This window comes from Homo sapiens, chromosome 14 (assembly GCF_000001405.40).
Source record: "Homo sapiens chromosome 14, GRCh38.p14 Primary Assembly".
In the NCBI taxonomy this organism is placed as follows: Eukaryota; Metazoa; Chordata; class Mammalia; order Primates; family Hominidae; genus Homo; species Homo sapiens.
The window spans coordinates 69,514,913-69,537,982 of NC_000014.9; the positions used below are offsets into that span (position 1 = coordinate 69,514,913).

Sequence of the window (23,070 nt, forward strand, 5' to 3'; positions counted from 1 at the left end):
GAAGAACAGAATGGCCTCAGGCACAGTGTAATCCCAGCACTTTGAAAGGCCAAGGCAGTTGGATCACCTGAGGTCAGGAGTTCAAGACCAGCCTGTGTGACATGGCGAAATCCCGTCTCTACTAAAAATACAAAAATTAGCTTGGTGTGGTGGTGCATGCCTGTAGTCCCAGCTACATGGAAGGCTGAGGCAGGAGAATCACTTGAACCCGGGAGGCAGAGGTTGCAGTGAGCCAAGATCACGCCACTGCACTCCAGCCTGGGTGACAGAGCGAGACTCTGTCTCAACAAACCAACCAACCAACAAACAAAAAAACAGAATGCTGTGTTGCATTTCCAAATGGCTGCTTTCCCCTTATATTCACTGAGAACCTGGTAGAGCTCCTGGAGTTATAACTCACAGAAGTGAGGAGGCCTCCCTAAGATTGGCCCCCCCTGGAGTTTTAACTCTTCAAACTGAACCTCCAGCAATTTGTCAATTGCAGTTCAGGTTTTCCTACCCCAGTACTGGTTCCCATGGAGGTTTCTGCTGGTAGTTTCTGCCTCATTAATGTGACTCTCTGTATCTGTGTCTTAGGCCATTCTTGCATTGCTATAAAGAAATACCTGAGACTAAGTAATTTATAAAGAAAGGTTTGATTGGCTCATGGTTCTGCAGGCTTTACAGGAAGCATGGTGCTGGCATCTGCACAGCTTCTAGGGAGGCCTCAGGAAGCTTACAATCATGGCAGATGGTGAAGGTGGAGCAGACATGTCACATGACCAGAGCAGGAGCAAGAGAGAGAGCATGGGCGCGGGGAAGTGCCACACACTTTAAACAACCAGATCTCATGTGTACTCAGAGGGAGAGCTCACTTATCACCAAGGGGATGACCCAAGCTATTTATGAAGGATCTGCCCCCGTAATCTAACTACCTTCCACCAAGCCCCACCTCCAAGATTAGGGATTACATTTCAACATGAGATTCGGGCAGGAACAAATATCCAAGCTATATTAATCTGCCTGTCTTTTCAATTTTGGGAATAGAACTTTGCTTTATGACCTCACTTCTCTGATGATGTAAGAAGACTTGCTGATTTTTCAGTTTGTTTGGTTTTTAAATTTATTTTATTTAGAGACAGGGTCTCACTATGTTGCCCAGGATGGTCTCAAACTCCTGGGCTCAAGTGATCCACTTTGTGGATTACAGGAGTGAGCCACTGTGTCCTGCCTTGTTCAGCTTTTTACTTATTAGAATAAAGTGACAACTTCTAAATTCCTTACATGCTGAACTGGAAACTGAAGTTCTTCCGTTCTCTTTCTTTTTCCTCCTTAATATGTAACTTTTCCCCTATTTGTAGAAATCATGCTCTTTGTAGAAAACTTGTAAAACATGAATAAGAAAATAAAATTTATCCATAATCCCATAATTGACAGACAACTGTCACCAAACTTTTTGGTGCTTTTCATTTTAGCCTTTTTTTCTCTATATACTATTCTTATATATGGTATATTTTAAATATAATTATCAGCATATTGGATATTCAGTTTTATGGACTGCCTTTTCATTATACTTTTCATCATACCTTCATTAACATTATACATTTTTCATGTCCTTTAACATTCTTTGAAAACATCAATTTTAATGGCAATGTACTGATTCATTGTATGTGATGTTTTATTTAAATAATCTTCTATTTTTGATCCTTCTTCCTGACCAAGAAGAAGCAATGAAGGTTTTGAGCAGGGAGTAAGGAAAAAGGGTGGGTATCATGTTTTGATTTCCATTTTTGCGGGGGAGGGTGTCTCCCTCTATCACCCAGGCTGGAGTGCAATGACACGATCTCAGCTCACTGCAGCCTCGACCTCCTGGGCTCAAGTGATCCTCTCACCTCAGCCTTCCAAGTAGCTGAGACCACAGGTGCACACTACCATGTCCAGCTATTTTTTTGTATTTTTTGTAGAGATGGGGTTTCACCATATTACCCAGGCTGGCCTCGAACTCCTGAGCTCAGGCGATCCGCCTGTCTTGGCCTCCCAAAGGGCTGGGATTACAGTGATTTCTATTTTAAATAGTGAAGTTGGCTGCAATATGGAGAAAAGGATGAAGGCGGGCCAGAAAGAGTGCAAAGAGCCCAGGTGGGAGGCCACTGCATTAGTCCAGGCAAGACCTAATAGCAGTGTGAACCAGAGCAGGGCAGTGAGATGAAGAGAAGTTGCCTGGCAGGTTCTAGAGTGGGGGCTGGGGGTGGGGGGCAATACGAACTGGACTTGAGGGTGGAGTGGGAAAGAGTAGAGTGGGGAAGGATGAGGTGAAGCATGAATCCCAAGTTTCTCACCTGCATAAGCAGTGGATGGTGGTGCATTCCCTGAGACAGGGTGCACTGGAAGATCACAAGCTCTGGTGGGGAAGATCATGAATTTGTTCTTGGACATGTGTTTATGATATCTTTGGATATCTGGCTGGAGATGTGAAGCCAACAGTTGGATATAAGAGGATGGAGCTCAACCAAGAGTAGGGACGACAGGTATCAACATAGGAGTCATTTGCACATAAATGGCAAATGAAGCAGGGAGGGGTGGGGGAGTAGGAGTGGTCTAGATTGCCTTGGATCTAGCGCAGACAGAGAGAGGGCAGGCGCAGCACTCTCTGAACTGAGGCAGTACTCCATGGTAGGGCTGTTGGGAGGATTGCATACAAACTGCTTGCAACATAGGAAGTGCTTAATAAACGATAGCCACTGTCAGCCTGTCCAGCTTCCCAGAGTCATGTTCACTGTCACTCTGGGCCCAACCATGTGGGCCAATCTCGGTTCTTTCAGGGCAGCAGGTTTCCACAGGGCCTTTGTACCTACCTTTCCTTCTGCCTGGAATGCTCCTTCTTTTTCCTTCTATTGATTCATCTTCATCTGTCACCTAAAGAATCACCTGATCTCCCCTAACCTCACACCGCATACCTGCCTCACTCCCATCAGGGTAGCTCTACATAGAACCATGTCCCTGTCCTGCATATCATGTATCTTGGTTTGTAATGCTACTCTAATGTGTCTGATTATTTTGGTAATATTTGATGTTTGCATTTGATCTACAATCCTGATCTGATTTTATTTATTTATTTATTTATTTATTTATTTATTTATTTGTTTGTTTGTTTGTTTGAGACAGGGCATCACTTTGTCACCCAGGCTGGAGTGCAGTGGCATGATCTCGGCTCACTGCAACCTCTGTCCCCCAGACTCAAGGGATCCTCCTGCCTCAGCCCCTCAAGTAGCTGGAACTACTACAGGCTTGTACCACCATACCTGGCTAATTTTTTGTATTTTTATTTTTAGTAGAGATGGGGTTTGCCGTGTTGGCCAGGCTGCTCTTGAACTCCTGAGCTCAAGCAATCCTCCCACCTCGGCCTCCCATGGTGCTAGGATTACAGGCATGAGCCACCTCTCCCGGCCCTGATTTTATTAATAGTTGCACTGGACTGTGAGCTCCCTGAGAGCAAGGATACAGCTGTTTTTGCTTATCTTCATATCCTCAGTGCATAGCTTGGCAGATGCTTGAAACATATTAGACAATAAATATGTGTAGCATGAATGAATAGAATTATAAGAAAAAATCTCACTGAGGTTTTTACTGGAATTGCATTGAGCTCGTAAATTAATTTGAAAGAATCTTTACTGTATTAAGTCTTCCTAACCAGGAGTCTAGTCTAGAATTGCATTCTTTTCAAGAATACAATTAGTTTTACTGAGGATGAGAAATCATGCCCTGTGAAGTGTGGTGAACAGGAATTCTTTGGCTTGGAGGAGAGGAGACTTGAGGACAGAATTGCTCTTTTAAATACTTGAAGAGAAAAGAGGTTAGTGTTGTTTTATGGCCTCAAGGGGGATAAGCCGGACCCATTGAAGGATTATGAGGTAGGCAGCTTTTGGCTCAAGTGGAGCTGGTGGTGGAAATGGGGTGCCTCCTCCCCTAGGTGTGCTTGAGCAGCCCAGAGTGGCTGGGCTTTGGCTGCTGTCCTTGGCTTTGCCTGTGTTTTGTTTTGCTAAGAGCTGTTCCCTAGCTCTTATTTTGGTGACAGGGACATGCAGGCTTCCTAGCTGAGGAGAGGGGCTTCAGGAGAGAGTACAGCTGAGACAGAGAGAAAGGCCCAGGAAGCCAGGCAGCAGCTGAAGGGAGAAAAAATTTGGGCAAGAGACAGAGATGGTTTATGAGATTTTGGAGGGGAATTTTGCTCCATAAATGAAATAGAACGCTCTCATTGAAGCCCCACAAAACTTTCAACAAAAATCTTCATTATTCATAAATGCTTTTGTATTTATAGCTGTCAGGGAGTGGCAGGGCTGAGCATAGCAGAGGGTTGAGCCTGTAAGGAAAAGGCTTTTATCAGGGTTGTTCAGGGGTGAAATGGGCTGTCACGAGAGCCAGTCAAGCAAAGCTTGGACCATCTCTTGGCAGGAAAACCAAGCAGGAGACTGAAGCATCTGATGGAGACTTTAATTGCCTTTAAAGTTGCTTTGACCCTGGAGGGTTCTGACTCATGGGTGCCTGTTTCTCTGGCCCTTTCACAGAGCAATAAATGCTGTGCGGGCACATGTAGTACAGACTCAGGTAGAAAAGCACCTTATCACATATATAGGGGACTACTGGGGAAGGAAGGGAATTCCAGTCATTCCAAGCCAAATGATTGTCTTGCCGTATTATTTTCAGGTGGATCACATTCACTTTCTTCTTCTCAGAGGCATAGCTGGGATCTGCTGGCGTCACGAGGCACTTAAATGCCAGGGAGGGAAGGAATGGGTTTTAATCATTGACCCTCCCCCGTTTTCAACTACAAAAGGATATCCCAGCGTAATATCAAGTAACGGGAAATGTTTGTAAGTTGGAGTGTTAGAGAAAGGGACTTTCCAGGGATGGGGTGGAGCCTCCAGGTGGGTCCAGGGTGATCATTTGTGAAGCGGCAGAGGCCCCAGACCTGTAAAAGCTGGGCGCCTGGCCGCGCACGGTGGCTCACGCCTATAATCCCAGCACTTTGGGAGGCCAAGGTGGGTGGATCACCCGAGGTCAGGAGTTCGAGACCAGCCTAGCCAACATGGTAGAACCCCCGCTGAACTCTACTAAAAATGCAAAAATTAGCCAGGTGTGATGGTGCGCGCCCGTAATCCCAGCTACTCGGGAGACTGAGACAGGATAATTGCTTGAACCAGGGAGGCGGAGTTTGCAGTGAACTGAGATCGTGCCACTGCACTCCAGCCTGGGTGACAGAGCGAGACTCTGTCTCAAAAAAAAAAAAAAAAAAAAAAAAAAAAAAGAGCTGGGCACCTTTGTTATTTTCCAGTGTAAGCCCAGGGATGCTTACAGCTTGTAATTTCCCCAGGCCTCTAAACGGCTCTGCCCCAGGAGGCAGAGCCCACTGAGGAGAGGGAATATGTGAGGTTTGTCGAATCTGAGGCTATAAAGGGGTTTATCATCATAAGCAATATCCAATATCATGTGTTAGCTACTGAGAATGAATAATATAGGGAGTTTCAAACTTTTCTGAAGCTCCAAACTCTTATTTCATCAAAGAGGGATTGGGGTCTATAAGAAGAAAATTTTATTGGGAGGCCAAGGTGGGCAGATCACCTGAGGTCAGGAGTTCGAGACCAGCCTGGCCAACCTGGTGAAACCCCATCTCTACTAAAAATACAAAAATTAGCCGGGTGTGGTGGTGAGTGCCTGTAATCCCAGCTACTCGGGAGGCTGGAGCAGGAGAATTGATTGAATCTGGGAGGCAGAGGTTGCAGTGAGCCGAGATTGTGTTACTGCACTCCAGCCTGGGCAACAGTAAGACTCAGTCTCAAAAGAAAAAAAGAATACAATTTTAATTATATTTATATTATGTCTATATATGGTATCTTGTATATAGACACTGGTTGCCATGGCAGGGGGAAGGGAACGTAGCACATCATGCATTGCCTCTTAAAGGCAACTGCCTAGAAGTAACACACTTCTGCTCTCATTCCATTGGCTTTAGCTAGTCCCACGGACCCACTCACCTTTACCAGGTGCACTGTGGCCATGTGGTGTGCCCAGGAGGAGCATCAGAATGCCAGTGAGAGCTGGGCTTGGTGGCTTGAGCCTGTGGTCCCAGCTACTCAGGAGGCTGAGGCAGGAGGATGGCTTGAGCTTGGGAGTTCAAGGCGGCAATGAGCTATGATCGTGCCACTGCACGAGTGCCACTCTGCCTGAGTGACAGAGACTCCATCTATAAACATAATAATATTAATAATAATACCAGTGAGCAGTGAGCAGTCTTGGTGGTGACAACAATTGGCAAAAACTGAGGTCAGTTTGTAACCAGTGATCCATGCCCAAAGTGCCAGTAATGATTAGAAGGGAAAGATATAGCAACTCTTTGGGTAAGTAGTTTAGAAATGGAGGTCATAGGGTTTGAACGCAGGCTCCTTCCTCTGCCTCATGTTTTATTCCTTCTTTGCATCTCCTCAAAGCCCATGGCAACTTCTCCATATAGACAGCCTCCCTCCCCAGTGGGGTTTCCATTAAACTTGGGAACAAAGCCCCCAGGTGAAAATGAGAGTGGAATTTGGAGCTGGAAGATGAGAAAGGAAGTGAATGTGGAAATAATATCCTCCCACAGTGTAAAATGTGGAGGAACAAAGCAGTTGTCACAAAAATGTTTCAAGCCAAATTACGTGAAATGTGCCCCCCAATGCCACCTGCCACTGAACCCCAGGAAAAGAGGACTCCTGGAGGACACACAGTTGCTGGGAAAACACTTGGGCTTCCTGGGATTCCTGAAGGGGCAAGTCTGGTCCCCTGGGGCCTGTCCTGCACTTTCTAGTTCTCCTCCACTTTGGGGCCGGAGCAGAGGGAAGCTGAAGCCACCTGGAGTCATTGCTTCCCAGATACCTCAAGAAAAATAGAGTCCTTATTCTCTGACTTTTGGGTTGGGAATAGCTTTTCCTTGCCACTTCTAACAGACATCACTCCAGGGATCTCGAATGGAAATACACACTCACCACTCTTTCCTCCAGGTGTGAGGGACAGCCAACCCGCCTGATGGTGGCAGTGACTGGAGCTGCCCTGCAGAGTAGATATTTAGAATTATAGTTTCCTCCAGCCACAGGGAGTAATGTTGGGAGTGTTCCTAAACCCAGTCTTCAGCATGCAAAATGTGTTTTCAGTGGGCTCGATTCATCATAGATTTTGGGTTTGTCAGGACTACATATCAATGAGTGGGGCCAGCGGGCCTTAGAACTTAATTCCCGGTCTGGTGCAGCACATGACCCAGGCTGTGCTAAATCCCAGAGGGTCCCTTGGGATAGAGTGGGGGATCCTGATCTCAGGGTTCCTTTGCTGCCTGTGACTCTTCTCTTCCTCTCTGGTCTCTTCAGGAGCTTGAGCGCCTTAACCAGGTGCTGGAGGCCGAGAAGCAGCAGTTCGAGGAGGTGGTGCAGGAGCTGAGAATGGAGCAGGAGCAGATCAAGAGGTGGTGGTGGTGCCTGGGAATTGGGGGTGCCACTAAGTTAGGGCATGCAGAGCCCACCTTCCCCGTCAGATCTGAGGAGGCCTCCACCTCAGAGATGCTATCTTCCCAAGGCTCCAGGCTTGGGTCTATCCCAGTTTGAGTCTGTCCTCCAAGGCTCCAGGTTTGAGTGTTCCCAGAAGAATCTGTAGACTCCCCTGACCCAGATAAATGGGGTCATTTCTACCCACTAGAGCATAAGGCAATGGAGCATCCCTCCAAGCCACAAAGCCCCCTGCCTTCATGAAAGCCTCTCTCACCCAGGGCCAGACAGGACACGCTGGCCTAGAGGTGCTTGCTGTTGGCCAAGACCCTCAACATTTGCTGTCTTTCCTGCATAGTCCTTTTTGGGAATGTGTCATTTGAGAACTTTAGTACCATGTATTGTTTGTAAACCTAGTTGTACATTATAATCATCTACTGAATTATAATCTTTTAAAGGTAGAGCCTAGAAATCTCTCTCTATATATATACATGTATATATCTATATACATGTATATATGTATATATAAAAATGTTTGTTTGTTTGTTTGTTTTTGAGACAGAGTCTCACTCTGTCACCCAGGCTGGAGTGCAGTGGCACGATCTCGGCTCACTGCAGCCCCGCCTCCTGGGTTCAAGTGATTCTTGTGCCTCAGCCTCCTGAGGAGCTGGGATTACAGACATGTGCCACCATGCTTGGCTAATTTTTGTAATTTTAGCAGAGCCAGGGTTTTGCCATGTTGGCCAGACTGGTCGCCAACACCTGTCCTCAACGATCCTCCCACCTTGGCCTCCCAAAGTGTTGGGATTACAGGTGTGAGCCACCGCACCAGGGCTAGAAATCTATATATTTTTTAAAAACACCCCAGGTGATTCTGAGGCAGCCTCCAGGAATGTGGAGACTGCTGCTGTGGGTGGGGTAGTCATCATCGTCATCCTCATCCTCATCATTATCATCACCACACATGATCAGTGATAGCCCAGAAACTGTTTTCTTATAACAACCTTATCCAAGGGTGTCAATTAACTATGTATTTTGAGGAGGGAAAAACCCAGAGGATCTTACTAAGTAAATAGCCAAGCACCTACTCAGCTTCCAGAATGTTGCCAGGTATTAGAAGGAATAGAAGACAAGTCCACTCCCTTGAAGAGTGGACGTATGATCTGGTTGGGGAAACCAGACTCATACCCAGGAAACATTAGTGTAATAATATGTAATCAGGTGCTAGAAGGCATGGTGCAGATTTCCTGTGTTACGAGAATTGAGACACATGCATGATGCTTGTGGGCTTGAATACAGGGCTGAGTGAGATGGGCCTTGAAAGGTGAGTAGGATTTTGAAAATTGGGCAGGAGAAGGGAAAGACTTTCCAAGTAGGATGAGGGGACACTAGTGTAAAAGCCTAAGGTGACTGAAGCTTGTGAAGAAGGCAGCAAGGAGCTTGTTACTAACCCAAAGAGGGGCCTTAGCCATGTTCTATGTCAGAATGACCATGGGTTCTAGCAAGTGCTGTCCAGAGAAGACAGGGTGAGGCTGGGGCCCCTTTGTTTCTCCAGTGTTTCCCTCTGCCTGTGGGGTGGCCCTAGGTTTATTCCAGGTGACAGATGCATGTGTACCTGGAGCAAGTGACTCCAACCCCATGTGGCCAGGACTTACTTTCAACTCCAGGCCCCTACTGCTGCTGTCAGGGCCCAGCTGTGCAGAGGGGCTGGCCATTCAAGAGCCCTCCTGAGCCCCATCAGGAAGTGAAGCAAAAGCATTTCTAAGTGCAGAGGTGATTGGTGGGGGGTGGGGAGAGTGGGCACTGCCATACCCAGCCCTCTGTCTCCACAGGGAGCTGGAACTGACTGCAAGATGCCTTAAGGGTGTAGAACAAGAGAAAAAGGAACTGAGGCACCTCACGGAGTCCTTGCAGCAGACACTGGAGGTGAGGGGCTGCTGGTGGGTTAGTTGACCAGGTGGCAGGCTGGTTGGTTGGACCACATGACACTGTTTTTTCCAGCAGTGTTTCCCCAGGGGGTGATCTGTAAGAGAAATGGGCATGGAGGGGTGCTGATCTAAAGGGTCTCTTCTCTATGGATCATTGAAAACTCTGGCCGAGGCATGAGGCCCAAAGCAAGAAGTGTCTGTTCTCAGACCTAAAAGGACAAATTCAGGCTTGTCCTTGCTATTACCATGGCCTCAGGAAATCCACCTCTGGTGCTTACATTTTTATACCAGATAGAGGATTGGTTAAGGTGGGCAGTGGAGCTACCCACCGCTTCCTTCTTGTGTCTTGTTCGCTTAGCTGCTCCTGAGTGACATTGAACGTAAAGGGAAATCAACTGCCAGGTCACCATCATCTGATACCACAGAAACTGGGATGGGGTGGGGAGGTGACAAGCCTCAAGGACAAAGTACAAACTCCTTAGCATGGCAAGCAAGTGAAAACTCTGGCCCTGGTCTCCCCTTCCCTCTCGCCTCACTCTTCCCTTCACTGCTCCTCCATGCCCTGCACAGACTCCCAACCCCTGCTCCAAACCGCGGAGCTCAGGTACTCCAAGGAAGCAAGCTCTTTCATGCTCCATACCTTTTCCCACACTGTTCCTTCTACACAGTGTATCATTTCCACCTTTTCTCTGCTTGGAGAACTTCTATTCACCCTTCTAAGTCTCAGCTCAAATATCTCCTCAGTCAAGCTTCTCTGATTTTCAAGGCAGGTATCTACTCTGAGCTCTTGGCTCCCGTGGCATTTTGTACATATTTTATGGGACTTAACATGCTAGGTGTGTTTTCCAAACTATGAATTTCAGTAGACTGTGTCTTCATGGTCTCTCCAAGCCCATCCCCTGAAGTGGGCCTGGCACATATGGTGTATGGCCCATACCTGTGCTGTACGCATGAATTACCTTCAAGGCTGCAAAGGTTTCTTGTCTCCCTTGACTGACTGGAGCCTTGGAGCTTGTGGGGCCTTTATTCATTTATCTTTCCCTGTTTCACATCATGGGAGGTGGTTCCCATGGATATTTTCAACTCTGCTTCTGTGTAATGCCATTGAGTACAAGATCCCAGTCTGATAAATGGAGAGGACATCTTTTTTTTGGAGGTGGGGTGGGGGGTGGTTTGGGGACAGGTTCTAGCTGTGTTGCCAAGGCTGGGATGCAGTGGTGCAATCATAGCTCACTGCAGCCTCGCTCTGTTTGTGAGAGCATCTAAATATGCTCTTGGGCTGGTTCCTGTTGGGTGTTTTTCACGTAAGCCCACTATGTCTCCTCATTCACCCCTGGAGGAACCAGGACCCCAGAAGATCATGCGACCCCGTTCTAGTAGGTGCCGTCTCCACTGGAAGGCACTTTGGGTTCCTTTATGACTCTTGATGGAGGAGTAACCTTGCCCTGTTGTGGGAGAGATCTGGGCCTTTTAGCTCTGGAGAAGAATGAAGACATTTCAGCGGCCATAGAGGACTGAGAGAGGAGTGGGTCACTCCCCCAAACGGAAAAGCAGGTGAGGGCAGCCACGATGGAGAACCTAAATTGGGCTTTTCTTTTCCTTGCCTCCCTCCATGCCAGGAACTCTCCATAGAGAAGAAGAAAACCCTGGAAATGCTGGAGGAGAACGAGAACCACCTGCAGACACTGGCCAATCAGAGTGAGCAGCCCCCTCCCAGTGGGGGCCTCCATAGCAACCTCCGGCAGATCGAGGAGAAGATGCAGCAGCTCTTAGAGGAGAAGCTCCTGGCAGAGAAGCGGTGAGGGAGCCCCGACCCCTGAAGACACCATTGACTTTGGGGTCTGGGGACTTTCCTCGAACTGGACATCCAGACTCTTGGGTTCTACTTGGCACTGACCAAGTAGGACTCACTCACTTCCTTTTGCCTAGGACTCTGTTTTCCCACCAGGAAAGTGGGAAGAGAACTTTCACTACCCAAAGCTGGCTTGATAATTATCTTGTGCAATGGTGTGAACCATGCAGACTTATTAAGTCCTTGTCACCATGCTTTGTGACAGGCTGGGCAAGTTTTTAAGCCCCCTTTTACAAATGAGGAAATGGAGCCTCAGGGGGGTTGTATGACTTTTCTGAGGTCACAGAACAAGCAACCTCTGGACCCAGGACTCCAGTCTTCTGACTCTAAACCTAGGGCTCCCAGCACTGACCACACCATCAATCTCATCCCCTGGGTGCCTGGACCCACAAAGTTCAGGGGCTCATAAAGCCTGGGATTCAAGGTTTCTCCAGCCCAGGTCTCTAAGAGGAGCTGTCCATCCATTGGCAATCCCATTTGGCGAGTGAGCATTGAGAAAGTGCCTCTTCTGTCCCTACAGGATGAAGGAGAACGAGGAGCGCTCACGGGCCCTGGAGGAGGAGCGTGAGTTCTACTCCAGCCAGTCCCAGGCACTGCAGAACTCGCTGCAGGAGCTGACGGCAGAGAAGCAGCAGGCTGAGCGGGAGCTCAAGGTGCGACCTGGCCTGCTGGTGCCAGGGCCCTTCCCCTTCCCTGGAGACTCCCCTTCCACCCCTGCACTTTACCGGGTAGCTGCATGAATTATCTCTGTCAGTCTGACCAGACAGCCAGGCATGGGGGATGGAGCCACCACGAGGGGAAGCAGCAAGTCTGCTGCATCATTGACAGACACCTGCTGGGTGCAGGTGCCAAGTCCAGTCCATCTGGTTCAAAGGGTAAGACTCAGAAGCGGGATGTGATAACTCCCATCCACGCCCATTGAGCCAGGGGTGACCAAGGAAGGCTTCCAGGGAAGATGGCAGCTACTTCCAGGACCTGACTTCCTTCTCATTTCCCTCTCCTCAACCTCAGGCTGAGGTGAAGGTCCGCATGGACCTGGAGAGGCGTCTCCGGGAGGCAGAAGGGGCCTTGCGAAGCCTGGAACAGGGGCTGAATTCCAAGGTGCGGAATAAGGAGAAGGAGGAGAGGATGCGGGCTGATGTGAGCCATCTGAAAAGTAAGCCCTGCCTCTAGGCCCTGGCCCCCAGCTTTGGCACTCAGCCCCAGATGGGATCCCGGCCCTGTAGAGCCAGGAAACCCACACAGGGTCTGCTAGGCATGAGGTGCTCCCTGGATATTGAAGGGTTTCTTCTCCAGTTACCTGCCTGCAGGCATCTCAGCACCACTGCTTTCTTGTGGCTGTTGGATCTGTGGTGAGAGGAAAGCCAGGAGCTTCTTCCATTTATCAAAAGCTCAGAGCTCTGTTCTCAGCAGACGTGCCCTGAGATGGCTGCAGATTGTGGTTTGAAAGGCAAAGAAAGTCCCCTTCAGCAGGTGGCTCTGGAATCTCGAGGGACGGGGTCAAAATATTTCCCACTCAATCTCACCAGGATCCTTGGGAAGGGAGGGACTGGCTGGGGGTAAGGATGCAGTCGGAACCCCACCCTTCCTGGCCCTGCCGCCACAGGGTTCTTTGAGGAGTGCATCCGGAATGCCGAGCTGGAGGCCAAGATGCCTGTGATCATGAAGAACTCCGTGTACATCCATAAGGCAGCCACTCGCCGCATCAAGAGCTGCCGCTTCCACCGACGCCGGTCCAGCACCTCCTGGAATGACAGTGAGTGTGGCTGTCTGCGTGCCCTGGTGGGATGGTGACAAGGCAGGAAGAGGGCAACATGGGGAGCCAGAAGGGTTGGCCCAGCTCTGAGGCTGGAGAGTGTGGCCTTGAACCTGGCCCCACCATCCTTGGGCAAACGGGTGAATTCTCAGGGCCCTGGGTTTCTCAAAGGATATGGAAGCCCGTGTGTGTGGGAAGGGGCTGGAAGAAGCTTGGCACACATAAAGGAGTGAGGGGGTGGCATGAGGCTGGGGACAGGGCCAGGCCTTCGTGGAGGGAGCACTGTTCACAGGGCTGTTGGGCTCCTGTTTCCCCAGTGAAGCCGTCCCAGTCCTTCATGACCTCCCAGCTGGATGCCAACAACATGGAGGAGCTAAAGGAGGTGGCCAAGCGGCTCAGCAGGGACCAGCGCTTCCGGGAATCCATCTACCACATCATGGCCACCCAGCCTGGAGCCCCCTCGGCACTCTCCCGGGGTGGAAAGTGATGGGCGCTCCTCCCCTGCTTCCCAAGTCTCCCCTGGATGGGCGGGGGAGGGGAAGGGGTGGCAGAGGGAGGCCTCACTCTACCAGCTCCTGGCCTCTCTGGTCTGGAGCCTATGTCTCCTCTGGGCCGGAGCTCCACTTGGGGGCCAGCCTTGCCCTCAAAGGACATGGACGCTGCCTTCCTCATCCTCACCCCACACCCCACCTTTGGGTCCACACCAGGGCCATGCAGGCCTGAGCTGGGTGCTGGTTGTCATGGTGAGGTGAGGACAGGACCTGGTTGTATGTGGAGATTTGTGTCGGTTAGGGAGTGGGGTGGGGAGGTGCTGTCTACCACTGTGCCATCAGGCAGGGTCTGCCCCACTGAGGAAGATGGCAGCCCTCCCTGGTGCCCACTGGACCTCTCTGGGACTCTGCTGCCCTGCCCGTGGTCCTCATGTAGAAAGGCCTTGCCTCCCTACCTTGACATTCCCTTTTCCCCAGGGTTTCCTAACCCTCCCTTTGCTTCTGACACTCAGCAAAATGTCCCTCAGCTGAGACCCCTCATTTACACCACATCATGCTGTGCAGGAGGAAAGGGGCCTAGGACAGCAGCTTCTGGGCTCCTGACATACCACACACCCGCCACAGTGCCGCTTTTCCTGAGCTCAGGCCCTGGCTGTGGGGCCACCCACTGATTCCCCTCCTCCTCTGGTGAGCTCACTCACAGCCTTGGCACCCTGCAAGGGTAGAATGATGGCACCAGTCCCTCCTGCCTGTGTACCTAGGGCCCTGGCTGGGAGCTGGGGCCAGCAGTGATGCTGGGGGCTCCCCCAGAGGACACGTAACAAGCTCAGGAGTGGGCTGGGCACAGTGGCTCATGCCTGTAATCCCAGCACTTTGAGAGGCCGAGGCGGGAGGATTACTTGAAGTCAGGAGTTTGAGACCAGCCTGGCCAATACGGCAAAACCCTGTCTCTACAAAAAATAAAAAAAATAAAATAAATAGCTGGGCATGGTGGTGCATGCCTGTAGTCCCAGCTACTTGGGAGACTGAAATGAGGGGATTGATTGAGCCTGGGAGGTTGAGGCTGCAGTGAGCTGAGATTGTGCCACTGCACTCCAGCCAGGGTAACAGAGCAAGACCCTGTCTCAAACAAACACAAGGAAAACAAGCTCAGGAGTGAAGGAAAGTCACTCTGGTTCCTGCATTATGTACTTCTGGTTGCGCAGGGAGGCAGTGTTCCTGCTGGTCGAGAGATCACAGATATCTCCTTCCCAGCTGCCCCTGCTTCAGTCACCTTGCTGCCTCCTCTCCCTGCAGAGATTTCAGCCTGTGAAGCAATGTGACCATGAACTCTGGCAGCTGGGGACCCTGGGCCTGTGATGAGGCCAGTAGTCATTGGTTGGCTCAGTGTCATTGGGAGTGAAGCTGAAACGCCAATCTGCAGCTTCTGTGGAAGACCACCACCCTCCAGGGGGCTGAAGGGTGTGTCTGTCTCTCACTCATGGACAGACAGACTGCCCAGACCCTCTCCCTGCAGGCCCACCCTCCAAAGCTACCTGAGGCTATTGGCCTCCAGAAAAGGGGTCCACCTGGGATCAGGGTGCTCTTGGACACTGTTGACATTAAAGGTGCTCATTCTTTGCTGCTTGGAAAACCAAGAAGTTCTGAGAGATAAACAGATGGCTTCGGGGCAAGTCCCAGCAAAAAGTGCAAGAACCTGGGAGCCCACAACCTATTCTGTGGGAAGAGGAGCATTGTTGCCTCTAAGAACACATGCACATCTGCTGCTAGGCTGGCCGAGCCCAGGCCGGGCTGCCCTGCTCTTTGCTCAGTGCTTCCTGCCAAAACTAATCTCAGTGGTTCCTTTCAGTGATGGGTGGACTTTGGTGGCTTCATACAGTCTCTGCAGAATCTAGCTGGGGAGAGGGCTGAGTCAGTTTGGAATAAATGCATTTGACAGGGCTGAGCCTAAATGTAAAACTTTAAACGTGTATAACATGCATAAACCTGGAACTTGTTTCTCTAACACGTATGAAGGATGAACTTTGAATTGAAGGGGAATATTTATAAAACCAAGATTACTGTTTCCTTTTTTTTAAAAGAATTAATCATGGCTTGCTTTTAGAGAGATCTTTCATAATTTTCAGATGCATTTGTTTTTCTTGGGCGAGCTATTAACCAGACAGGAAAGTGCTAGTCTTCGTTTGCTTTGTACTGCTGTAACAGAATACCTGAGACTGGGTAATTTATAAGGAACAGAAATGTACTGGCTCACAGATATGGTGGCTAAGACGTCCAATATCAAGGTGCTGGCATCTGGCAAGGACCTTCTTGTTGCATCATCCCATGGTTGACAGGCAAAGAGAGGGTGAGAGAGCAAGAGGGGCCAAACTTATTCTTTTATAACAAACCCACCCCCTCGATAATGACATTAATCCTTTCATAAGGGAGAGTCTTCATGGCCAAATCACCTCTTAAATGTTCCACCTCTTGCGGATCACCTGAGGTCAGGAGTTTGAGACCAGCCTGGCCAATATGGCGAAACCCCACCTGTACTAAAAATACAAAAATTAGCTGGGCGTGGTGGTGGGTGCCTATAGTCCCAGCTACTCAGGAGGCTGAGACAGGAGAATCACTTGAACCTGGGAGGTGGAGGTTGCAGTGAGCCGAGATTGTGCTATTGTACTCCAGCCTGGGCAACATGAGTGAAACTCTGTCTCAGAAAAAAAAAAAAGGTCCCACCTCTTAATATTGTTACAATGGCAATCAAATTTCTTTTTTTAATCCTGCAAACTACTGGGATAGTAATTAAATTTCAGTGTGAGTTTGGGAGGGAACAAACATTCAAACTGTAGCAGTGCTTTTCCATGCACATTTACCAATCGATACTTCCTCCTATTCTCACCCTGTATTTTCCATGCCTCAGGCAAGTCTGAATTATCTTCAGCCAACTGAACAATCCATAAGTGTTTATTCGTTAAAAGCTCACTATGTACCTAGCACTGTAAATAGAAAAATAGCAACATCTCTATATCAAAATACGTAGGAGTGGAAATTACTTAGTGGAGATATGTTGATGTAATTTTTTTAATTTTTAAAAACAAAACTCTTATTCCTTGGCCAATTAAATGCATTTCCTGCAGTATCTATTTAAGTATGTGGTGTGGTCATTGCTAGAGAGATGTTGCTACCTGCAGGCCAAATGTAGAATTATGGAATCTGCTTGTCCTGTCTCTAATACGTACTCCTGCACATGCTTCTCTACATTTGAGGAAGTGCTCCCCACTGCTGCACCTCCTAATAATTAATTGAAAAATCTGTGTTCCAGCCCTGAGGTCCTGGCTGTCCCTGTGTAACAAGGACTATCAGCTAGATTTTCTTCTGATTTTAGCACAGACTAAAGGAACAGGACTGACTGTGCCAGTGAGAATAGCCTCAGGGAGACAAAGGATACCTAGGTTTTTTGTTTAGTGAGGTTTTCCTGTTTGTTTGGTTTTCCTGTTTGTTTTTGTTTTTAAGAGACAGAGTCTCACTCTGTTGCCCAGGCTGGGGTGCAGTGGTGTGATCATGGCTCACTATAACCTCAGACTCCTGGGCTCAAGTGATCCTCCCACCTCAGCCTCCTGAGTAGCTGGGACTACAGACACGTACCATGATGCCCAGCCAGGATACCTAGCTTTATGGCCTGCTAGTTTCAGTATCCCTGCTGGAAACTGACAGTTTTACCTGCTCTGATGTGGGGAAGTGTATGCTTTTGTTTAGTAATCATATAAAGGAGAGCCAGAAATGAGTGAGAAATGGTGATGACTGGATTCTCCTCCTGTTTGGTTTGTGTGCTTTTCCACCAATGATGTTAATGGATGAAGCAAGAGATCGTGAAACACTTGGGTTCTGACCCATTCCCCAGCTCCCAGTCCTTGCAAGAATGCTCTCCCTCTATTCATCTGGAAGGATGTAATTCTTGCCCCCAACCCACTCCAAGCCCACCCAGCTCAGCATAGTCTCAGCAGCCTGTTTGGAGTCCACAATGAATGATGATAGTGGAACAAAACTTGCTCAAGTCTCAGGGAGCCAGTCCAGGTGTGTCAGATTTTATCCAATAGGAAGATAAATAAATCCACTGGGCAAAATAGTCCTGAAGCCCTCAGATAAAGTCCAGCAGTCCCTGTGGAACTGTGTGCTTCTGCAATCAGCCATGTTGACACTTCTCAGACCCCCAGGCCTTGCAAGGTCTCTCCAAAGTCAGAAACTCTGCAGCTTTGACTCTTGGAGAAAAAGCTGCTGACTTCTCTTATCTCACCCCACCCCTGGCAAACAGGAGTTGAGGGATGTCTTTTGCAAGGCTTTAGGAGAGATTACAATGGTTGTTTTTACCTCCTGAAAGAGAGCCACTCCCAGACACACAAAGCAACTGGGAGAAACTGGTTATTCAAACTTCCGAGTGGGTGTGGAATGTTGTGGTGTCAACATCCCCAGGTTCAGTTCTCCTGGCTCGGCACATCCCATCTCCCATTCCCTTCCCTGGACGTGGGCTTCCACCCATGGCTTACAGCTCTTCTGACCCAGAAATGAACTTCACTCCATCTTACTGGGTTAAAGGTGTTCATGGGAAATATAGGAAATACTCTAAGTCCAGGAGTCCTGGGGGGTGGGGACCTTAATAACCAAATCCCTTGTGGTGAACTTTACCTGTCACTGTCAACTCTGAGTATGCCTCTGGCTGAGACTTGACAGTTGGGCAGGGAAGTTGGGGTGAGTCAGAGTTGCTCACAAGGGCTCAACAGCAGGGGCTCCAGGAGACATCCAGGCAGTTTCAGAGCCAGCTGCATTTGGGGGCTCATGCTCTCTTTGCACTCCACCACCCTTCCCCTGGAGGATCTGACACCTGCCTCTGGGCTGAGAGTCCCATTGTGAACAGACTCAGCCTCCCCTTGTAATCCTGGCAAAAGCTGTGGTTGGTGGGCCTTGGAGTGTCCACAAAGAGAGCCTTCCCCCTTGCAGAGCAGTGACTCCAGTGGCAAGACGAGACCTAGGGGAAGAAGTTGTTGTGCACTGTCTGCTGCTGTGGGTGCGGGGGAAGGCTCTGCTTTGCCACTTGCTGGCTCCTGTGGCTTTTGAAAAGTCACTATTTAAAATGTTTACTGTATTTATGCATTTTTAGTAAGCAGGAGAGAAATCCCTTCAATCTTACAGGCTGCTCAGAGCCTTTGTGGTTCTGAAGTTCTATGATTGGGACTTTGCATCCCTGAAATCAACAGAAAATTGGCTGCCACTGCTACAAGTGATCAAGAACATACAGGATGTCAGGTTCTGGCTCAGGTAGCACTCAATGCCATGCCATCCTTAGAACTGTCTATGAAAATATATGTTTGCTTTGAGATGAGAATAGGAAAGATAACTAATTTATCACCTCAAGGAAAAGGTAACTGTGACTAATCATAGTTGCTTGGAAGGCTTTTCTGGTAAAGAAAAGATGCCTATTGTCATGTTCACCCTGTATCTGAGACCATCAGTCAGCATCACTTCTTTCCATCTCTGAGAAACAGGGTTTGCTCTGTCACCCAGGCTGGAGTGCACTAGTATAATCATAACTCACTGTAGCCTCCTGGGCTTGAGCAATCCTCCTGCCTCAGCCTCCTAAGTTGTAGGATTACCAGTGTGAGCCACCATGCCACTTCTTTCCATCTTCGTTCAACACGTATTTATTGTGATTCTATTGCATGAAGTCAAGTGTCTACCACGTGCTTATCTCTTTCACTTACTGGCTCTTAAATTGTGGTGAAATACACACAACTTAACATTTACCATTTTAACTATTAATATTTCTAAGTGTACAGAGGCTGAGCACAGTGGCTCACACCTGTAATCCCATCACTTTGGGAGGCTGAGGTGGGTGGATCACTTGAGGCCAGGAGTTTGAGACCAGCCTGGGCAACATGGTGAAACTCCATCTCTACTAAAAATACAAAAGTTAGCCGAGCGTGGTGGCGCCCACCTGTAATCCCAGTTACTTGGGAGGCTGAGGCACAGGAATCACTTGAACCCAGGAGGCGGGGGTTGCAATGAGCCGAGATTGTGCCACTGTATTCCAGCCTGGGCAACAGAATGAGACTCCATCTCAAAATACATACATATATATATATATATATATACACATACACACACATGTATATATTTCTTCTTTTTTTTTTTTTTTTTGAGACGGAGCCTTGCTCTGTCGCCCAGGCTGGAGTACAGTGGCACGAACTCGGCTCACTGCAAGCTCCGCCTCCCGGGTTCACGCGTCTCCTGTCTCAGCCTCCTGAGTAACTGGGACTACAGGCACCTGCCACAACGCCTGGCTAATTTTTGTATTTCTTTAGAAGAGACGGGGTTTCACCATGTTAGTCAGGATGGTCTCGATCTCCTGACCTCGTGATCCGCCCACTTCGGCCTCCCCAAGTGCTGGGATTACAGGCGTGAGCCACCGTGCCCGGCCACACATGTATATATTTATAAGTGTAATATAATATATGCCAGTAGTGTTAAATATGTTCACATTTTGTGCAACCACTCTCCAGAACTTTTTCATCTTGTAAAACTCAAACTCTGTATCTATTAGACACTCCCCATTCTCCTAACCCCCAGCCCCTGGCAATCACCATTCTACTTTCTGTCTCTATGATTTTTGACTACTGTATATACCTTATATAAGTGGAATTATACAGCATTGGTCTTTTTCTGTGCCTGGCTTGTTTCACTTACGATAACGTCCTCAAGATTCATCCATGTTGTAGCGTATGTCAGAATCTCCTTCCTTTTTAAAGTTGGATAATGTCCTATCAGTTTTCAGGAGAAAACCTGATTGAAATCTCATTCTTCTGACAAATTGTTGGCCAATGGGGAGGGCCCTGGATGTCTTAAAGGACAAGAGAGTCACAGCCAAAGGAAACTGGATCCCTACCCTTTCCTTTTCCAGGTTTCTCCCTCCCCACTGTGGCCTGGTGTTAGGGATGCTTTGGTGTTCACGTCTATCTTCTTCCCAGCAGATGGCAGCATGCTCCGAGCTGGCTTGCAAATTCCAATGGGAAAGTGAGCTGAGCCTCTGGGAGACGGCGGGGGTGGAGGGGTTTTGGTGACAATCTGCTGCAGTTTTGCACTATTGGTGTTGAGTCTCACCCTTGTTCTCCCCTTTAAGGTATGAAACAAAGGACTCTGCTTTGTCCATCACTTACTGAGTCCATTATATACCATGCACTTTCACATTGACTTCTCTTCTGTATTCACATATCTTTCCTTGATTTACAGAAAAAAATGGAACCCACATAGTTTGGGGGACTTGCCCAAGGTCACACAGCTTGTAACTGGAAGGTCAGCTTGTATCTGAGTTCAAGGGCAGTGCTTTTTCTAGCATCCCCTAAAAAAATGTAAAAATTTTAAGTGACTTTTTTCCATTGCCTTATTCATTCATTCAGTCATTCATTCAGTAAATATATTGAGCTCCTCTATATTTTAGGTCCCAAGAATCTTCACTCAGAGATTTTCTATCATGAGTTCTTAAGGGATTAACTCAGCTGTTTGGTAACTGCTGGTCTCCTAAGAACTCTTCTTTTCTGGAAGTCTGGTTAGTCCAATGTAACAAGTTCAGAGTTTCTCAACCTAAGGACTTTGCAAAGTAACAGGTCATTTCTTTTTTTCATTTATTTTTAGAGACAGAGTCTTGCTCTGTGGCCCAGGCTGGAGTACAGTGGTGAGATCATAACTCACTGCAGCCTCAAACTCCTGGGGTCAAGTGATCTTCCCATCTCAGTTTCCCATGTAGCTGATACTACAGGCATGTCCCACTATGCCCAACTAATTTTATTTTTTGTAGAAGTGGGGTCTTGGTATGTTGTCCAGGCTGGTCTCAAACTCCTGGCCCCAAGTGATCCTCCTGCCTCAGCCTCCCAAAGTGCTGGGATTATAGGCATGAACTACTGTGCCTGGCCAACAGGCCTAGTTTCTTGCTGCCTTCAATTACTTCCAAGCTGGCACTCTCTTGATTTTCTCTTTTCTTTGCCCTTCATCCACACTTCCCACATCAAGTATCCTCTAGAAGAGAAGTAACCTCTTAGAGGAGGCAGCCAATGGGAAGCCTCTGGGCTGGGGATCTGAAGGCCTGGGTGATCCTGAAGAGCCAACAATTAATCCGAGACATCCAACCTCCCCTTTGTAAAATGAGGGTGTGCAATTAGATGCTCCCAAAACTCTCCTCCAATCCTGGTGTAGATTATATAAAATCTCTACCTTATGGAGGTTTTTTGGGAAGAATGTTACATTTGCAGGAAATGAGTATCAGCATATTTTTGAAAAATCATTTTTGTTTTTGGAGTCAATAGCACTTCTACCTTGACACATTACTAAATGCCATCCCCATTTCTCCCCTGTGACCGCCTGCCTTCATCCACTTGAAGGCAGCTTCCTGCACGTGGCTGTCTAGAGCAGGGCACCTGCCATCCAGGTCACTGGAGCAGATACTGTGGGTCAACTTCAATGGTCTCCAAAGAGGGGCATGGGCACCCTGGGGACACACATGATGGCCCCTTTGGGCCATGGGGAATAAACATGCAGAACTTTTTCTTGAAGGGTTTTCTTCTCTAAAATAATTAAAAGAAAATGAAGTCTTCCTTAGTTTCAATACATATATTGACACTGGCACCCTCACTTACCCTGGATGCCAGGGATGTTATGTCATGATCACATGAGGGTTTCTGAGTGCCACAATTTGGAGGAGGAAGTGACAATGGCACTCTCCCATGTCATATTCAGGGTATTGTGGTGCATTGTAGTTTACATCTTGTGAAATGAGTATACAGATTACATATCTAGTTTTAACAAGTTAACTCTCATAGACTGCATTCATGGCTCTAAACATTTCCTGCAAAGAAGCTGCAAGTCATACTATTAGCACAAGTACAAGCATACAACAAGGAAAAGAAATGCTGGCATTTTCCCCGCCCCTATAAGAGCTGTGTTAACTCTATTACAATAGGTAGGAACAACTATGATCTAATCAGACCTAACAAGGAGTTGTCCCCCTACATTTGAAATAATTAAGAAAACTTGGGAAGGTATTCAGCTGCAAGTAACAGAAAGCCCAACCATGGCAGCTTATACAAACTCCTGACCGCAGGTGATCTACCTGCCTTAGCTTCCCAAAGTGCTGAGATTACAGGCATGTTTATACAAACAGAGGCTTATTTTTCTCATGTATCTAGAGAACTGAAAGCAGGCAGCTGATGATATTGCTAAATCACATAAAGAAATGAGGGCCAGCTTCTCTGCCATTCTCTTGGCCTTTCTCTCACAGTTGCAAGATGTTCAGCCATCACATCGGCACTGATGGCAGGAAGAAGGTGGGAAGGAAATAAAAGGCAATGTCTGCACCTTTGACCTATTTTTCATGAAAACTCCCCAAAGCACCTCAAAAACTTTTGCAGATATTTTGTTGGCCAGAGCTGGATCACATGGCCACCTCCAGTTGCAAAAGAGGCTGAGAGTGACTATTTGGCTTTCTAGTCTTTGTGGCAGTGGTAGCAAGAGAGAAGGGAGTTAGGAGTAT

The 23,070-nt window shown here is 48.2% G+C and overlaps 1 protein-coding gene across 4 annotated transcripts in view, besides 1 other annotated feature; it reads left to right on the forward strand.

Annotated features, from left to right (window-relative positions):
* PLEKHD1 (pleckstrin homology and coiled-coil domain containing D1) overlaps positions 1-16,639 on the forward strand; it is a 63,808-nt gene extending 47,169 nt beyond the window's left edge. For 3 of the 4 annotated variants that reach the window (XM_017021290.1, NM_001161498.2, XM_011536762.2), the window contains 7 exons: positions 7,371-7,465; positions 9,317-9,410; positions 11,032-11,210; positions 11,785-11,917; positions 12,276-12,420; positions 12,871-13,020; positions 13,338-16,639. In XM_017021290.1, coding sequence (XP_016876779.1) covers positions 7,371-7,465; positions 9,317-9,410; positions 11,032-11,210; positions 11,785-11,917; positions 12,276-12,420; positions 12,871-13,020; positions 13,338-13,507 — 966 coding nt within the window. In that variant the 3' untranslated portion in view covers positions 13,508-16,639. Of the gene's footprint in view, positions 1-4,777; positions 4,851-7,370; positions 7,466-9,316; positions 9,411-11,031; positions 11,211-11,784; positions 11,918-12,275; positions 12,421-12,870; positions 13,021-13,337 lie in introns of those variants that run through there. The other variant, XM_011536763.2, reaches the window with a different exon arrangement.
* Positions 14,703-14,872: an enhancer, noted in NCBI's record as "experimental_36437 CRE fragment used in MPRA reporter constructs". NCBI's record gives its function as "activates a minimal promoter by MPRAs in K562 erythroleukemia cells, with activity observed for the introgressed 14:69996417 variant allele {active_cell/tissue: K562}" and the evidence as "EXISTENCE:reporter gene assay evidence [ECO:0000049][PMID:34662402]".
* Positions 16,640-23,070: the final 6,431 nt, after the last annotated feature.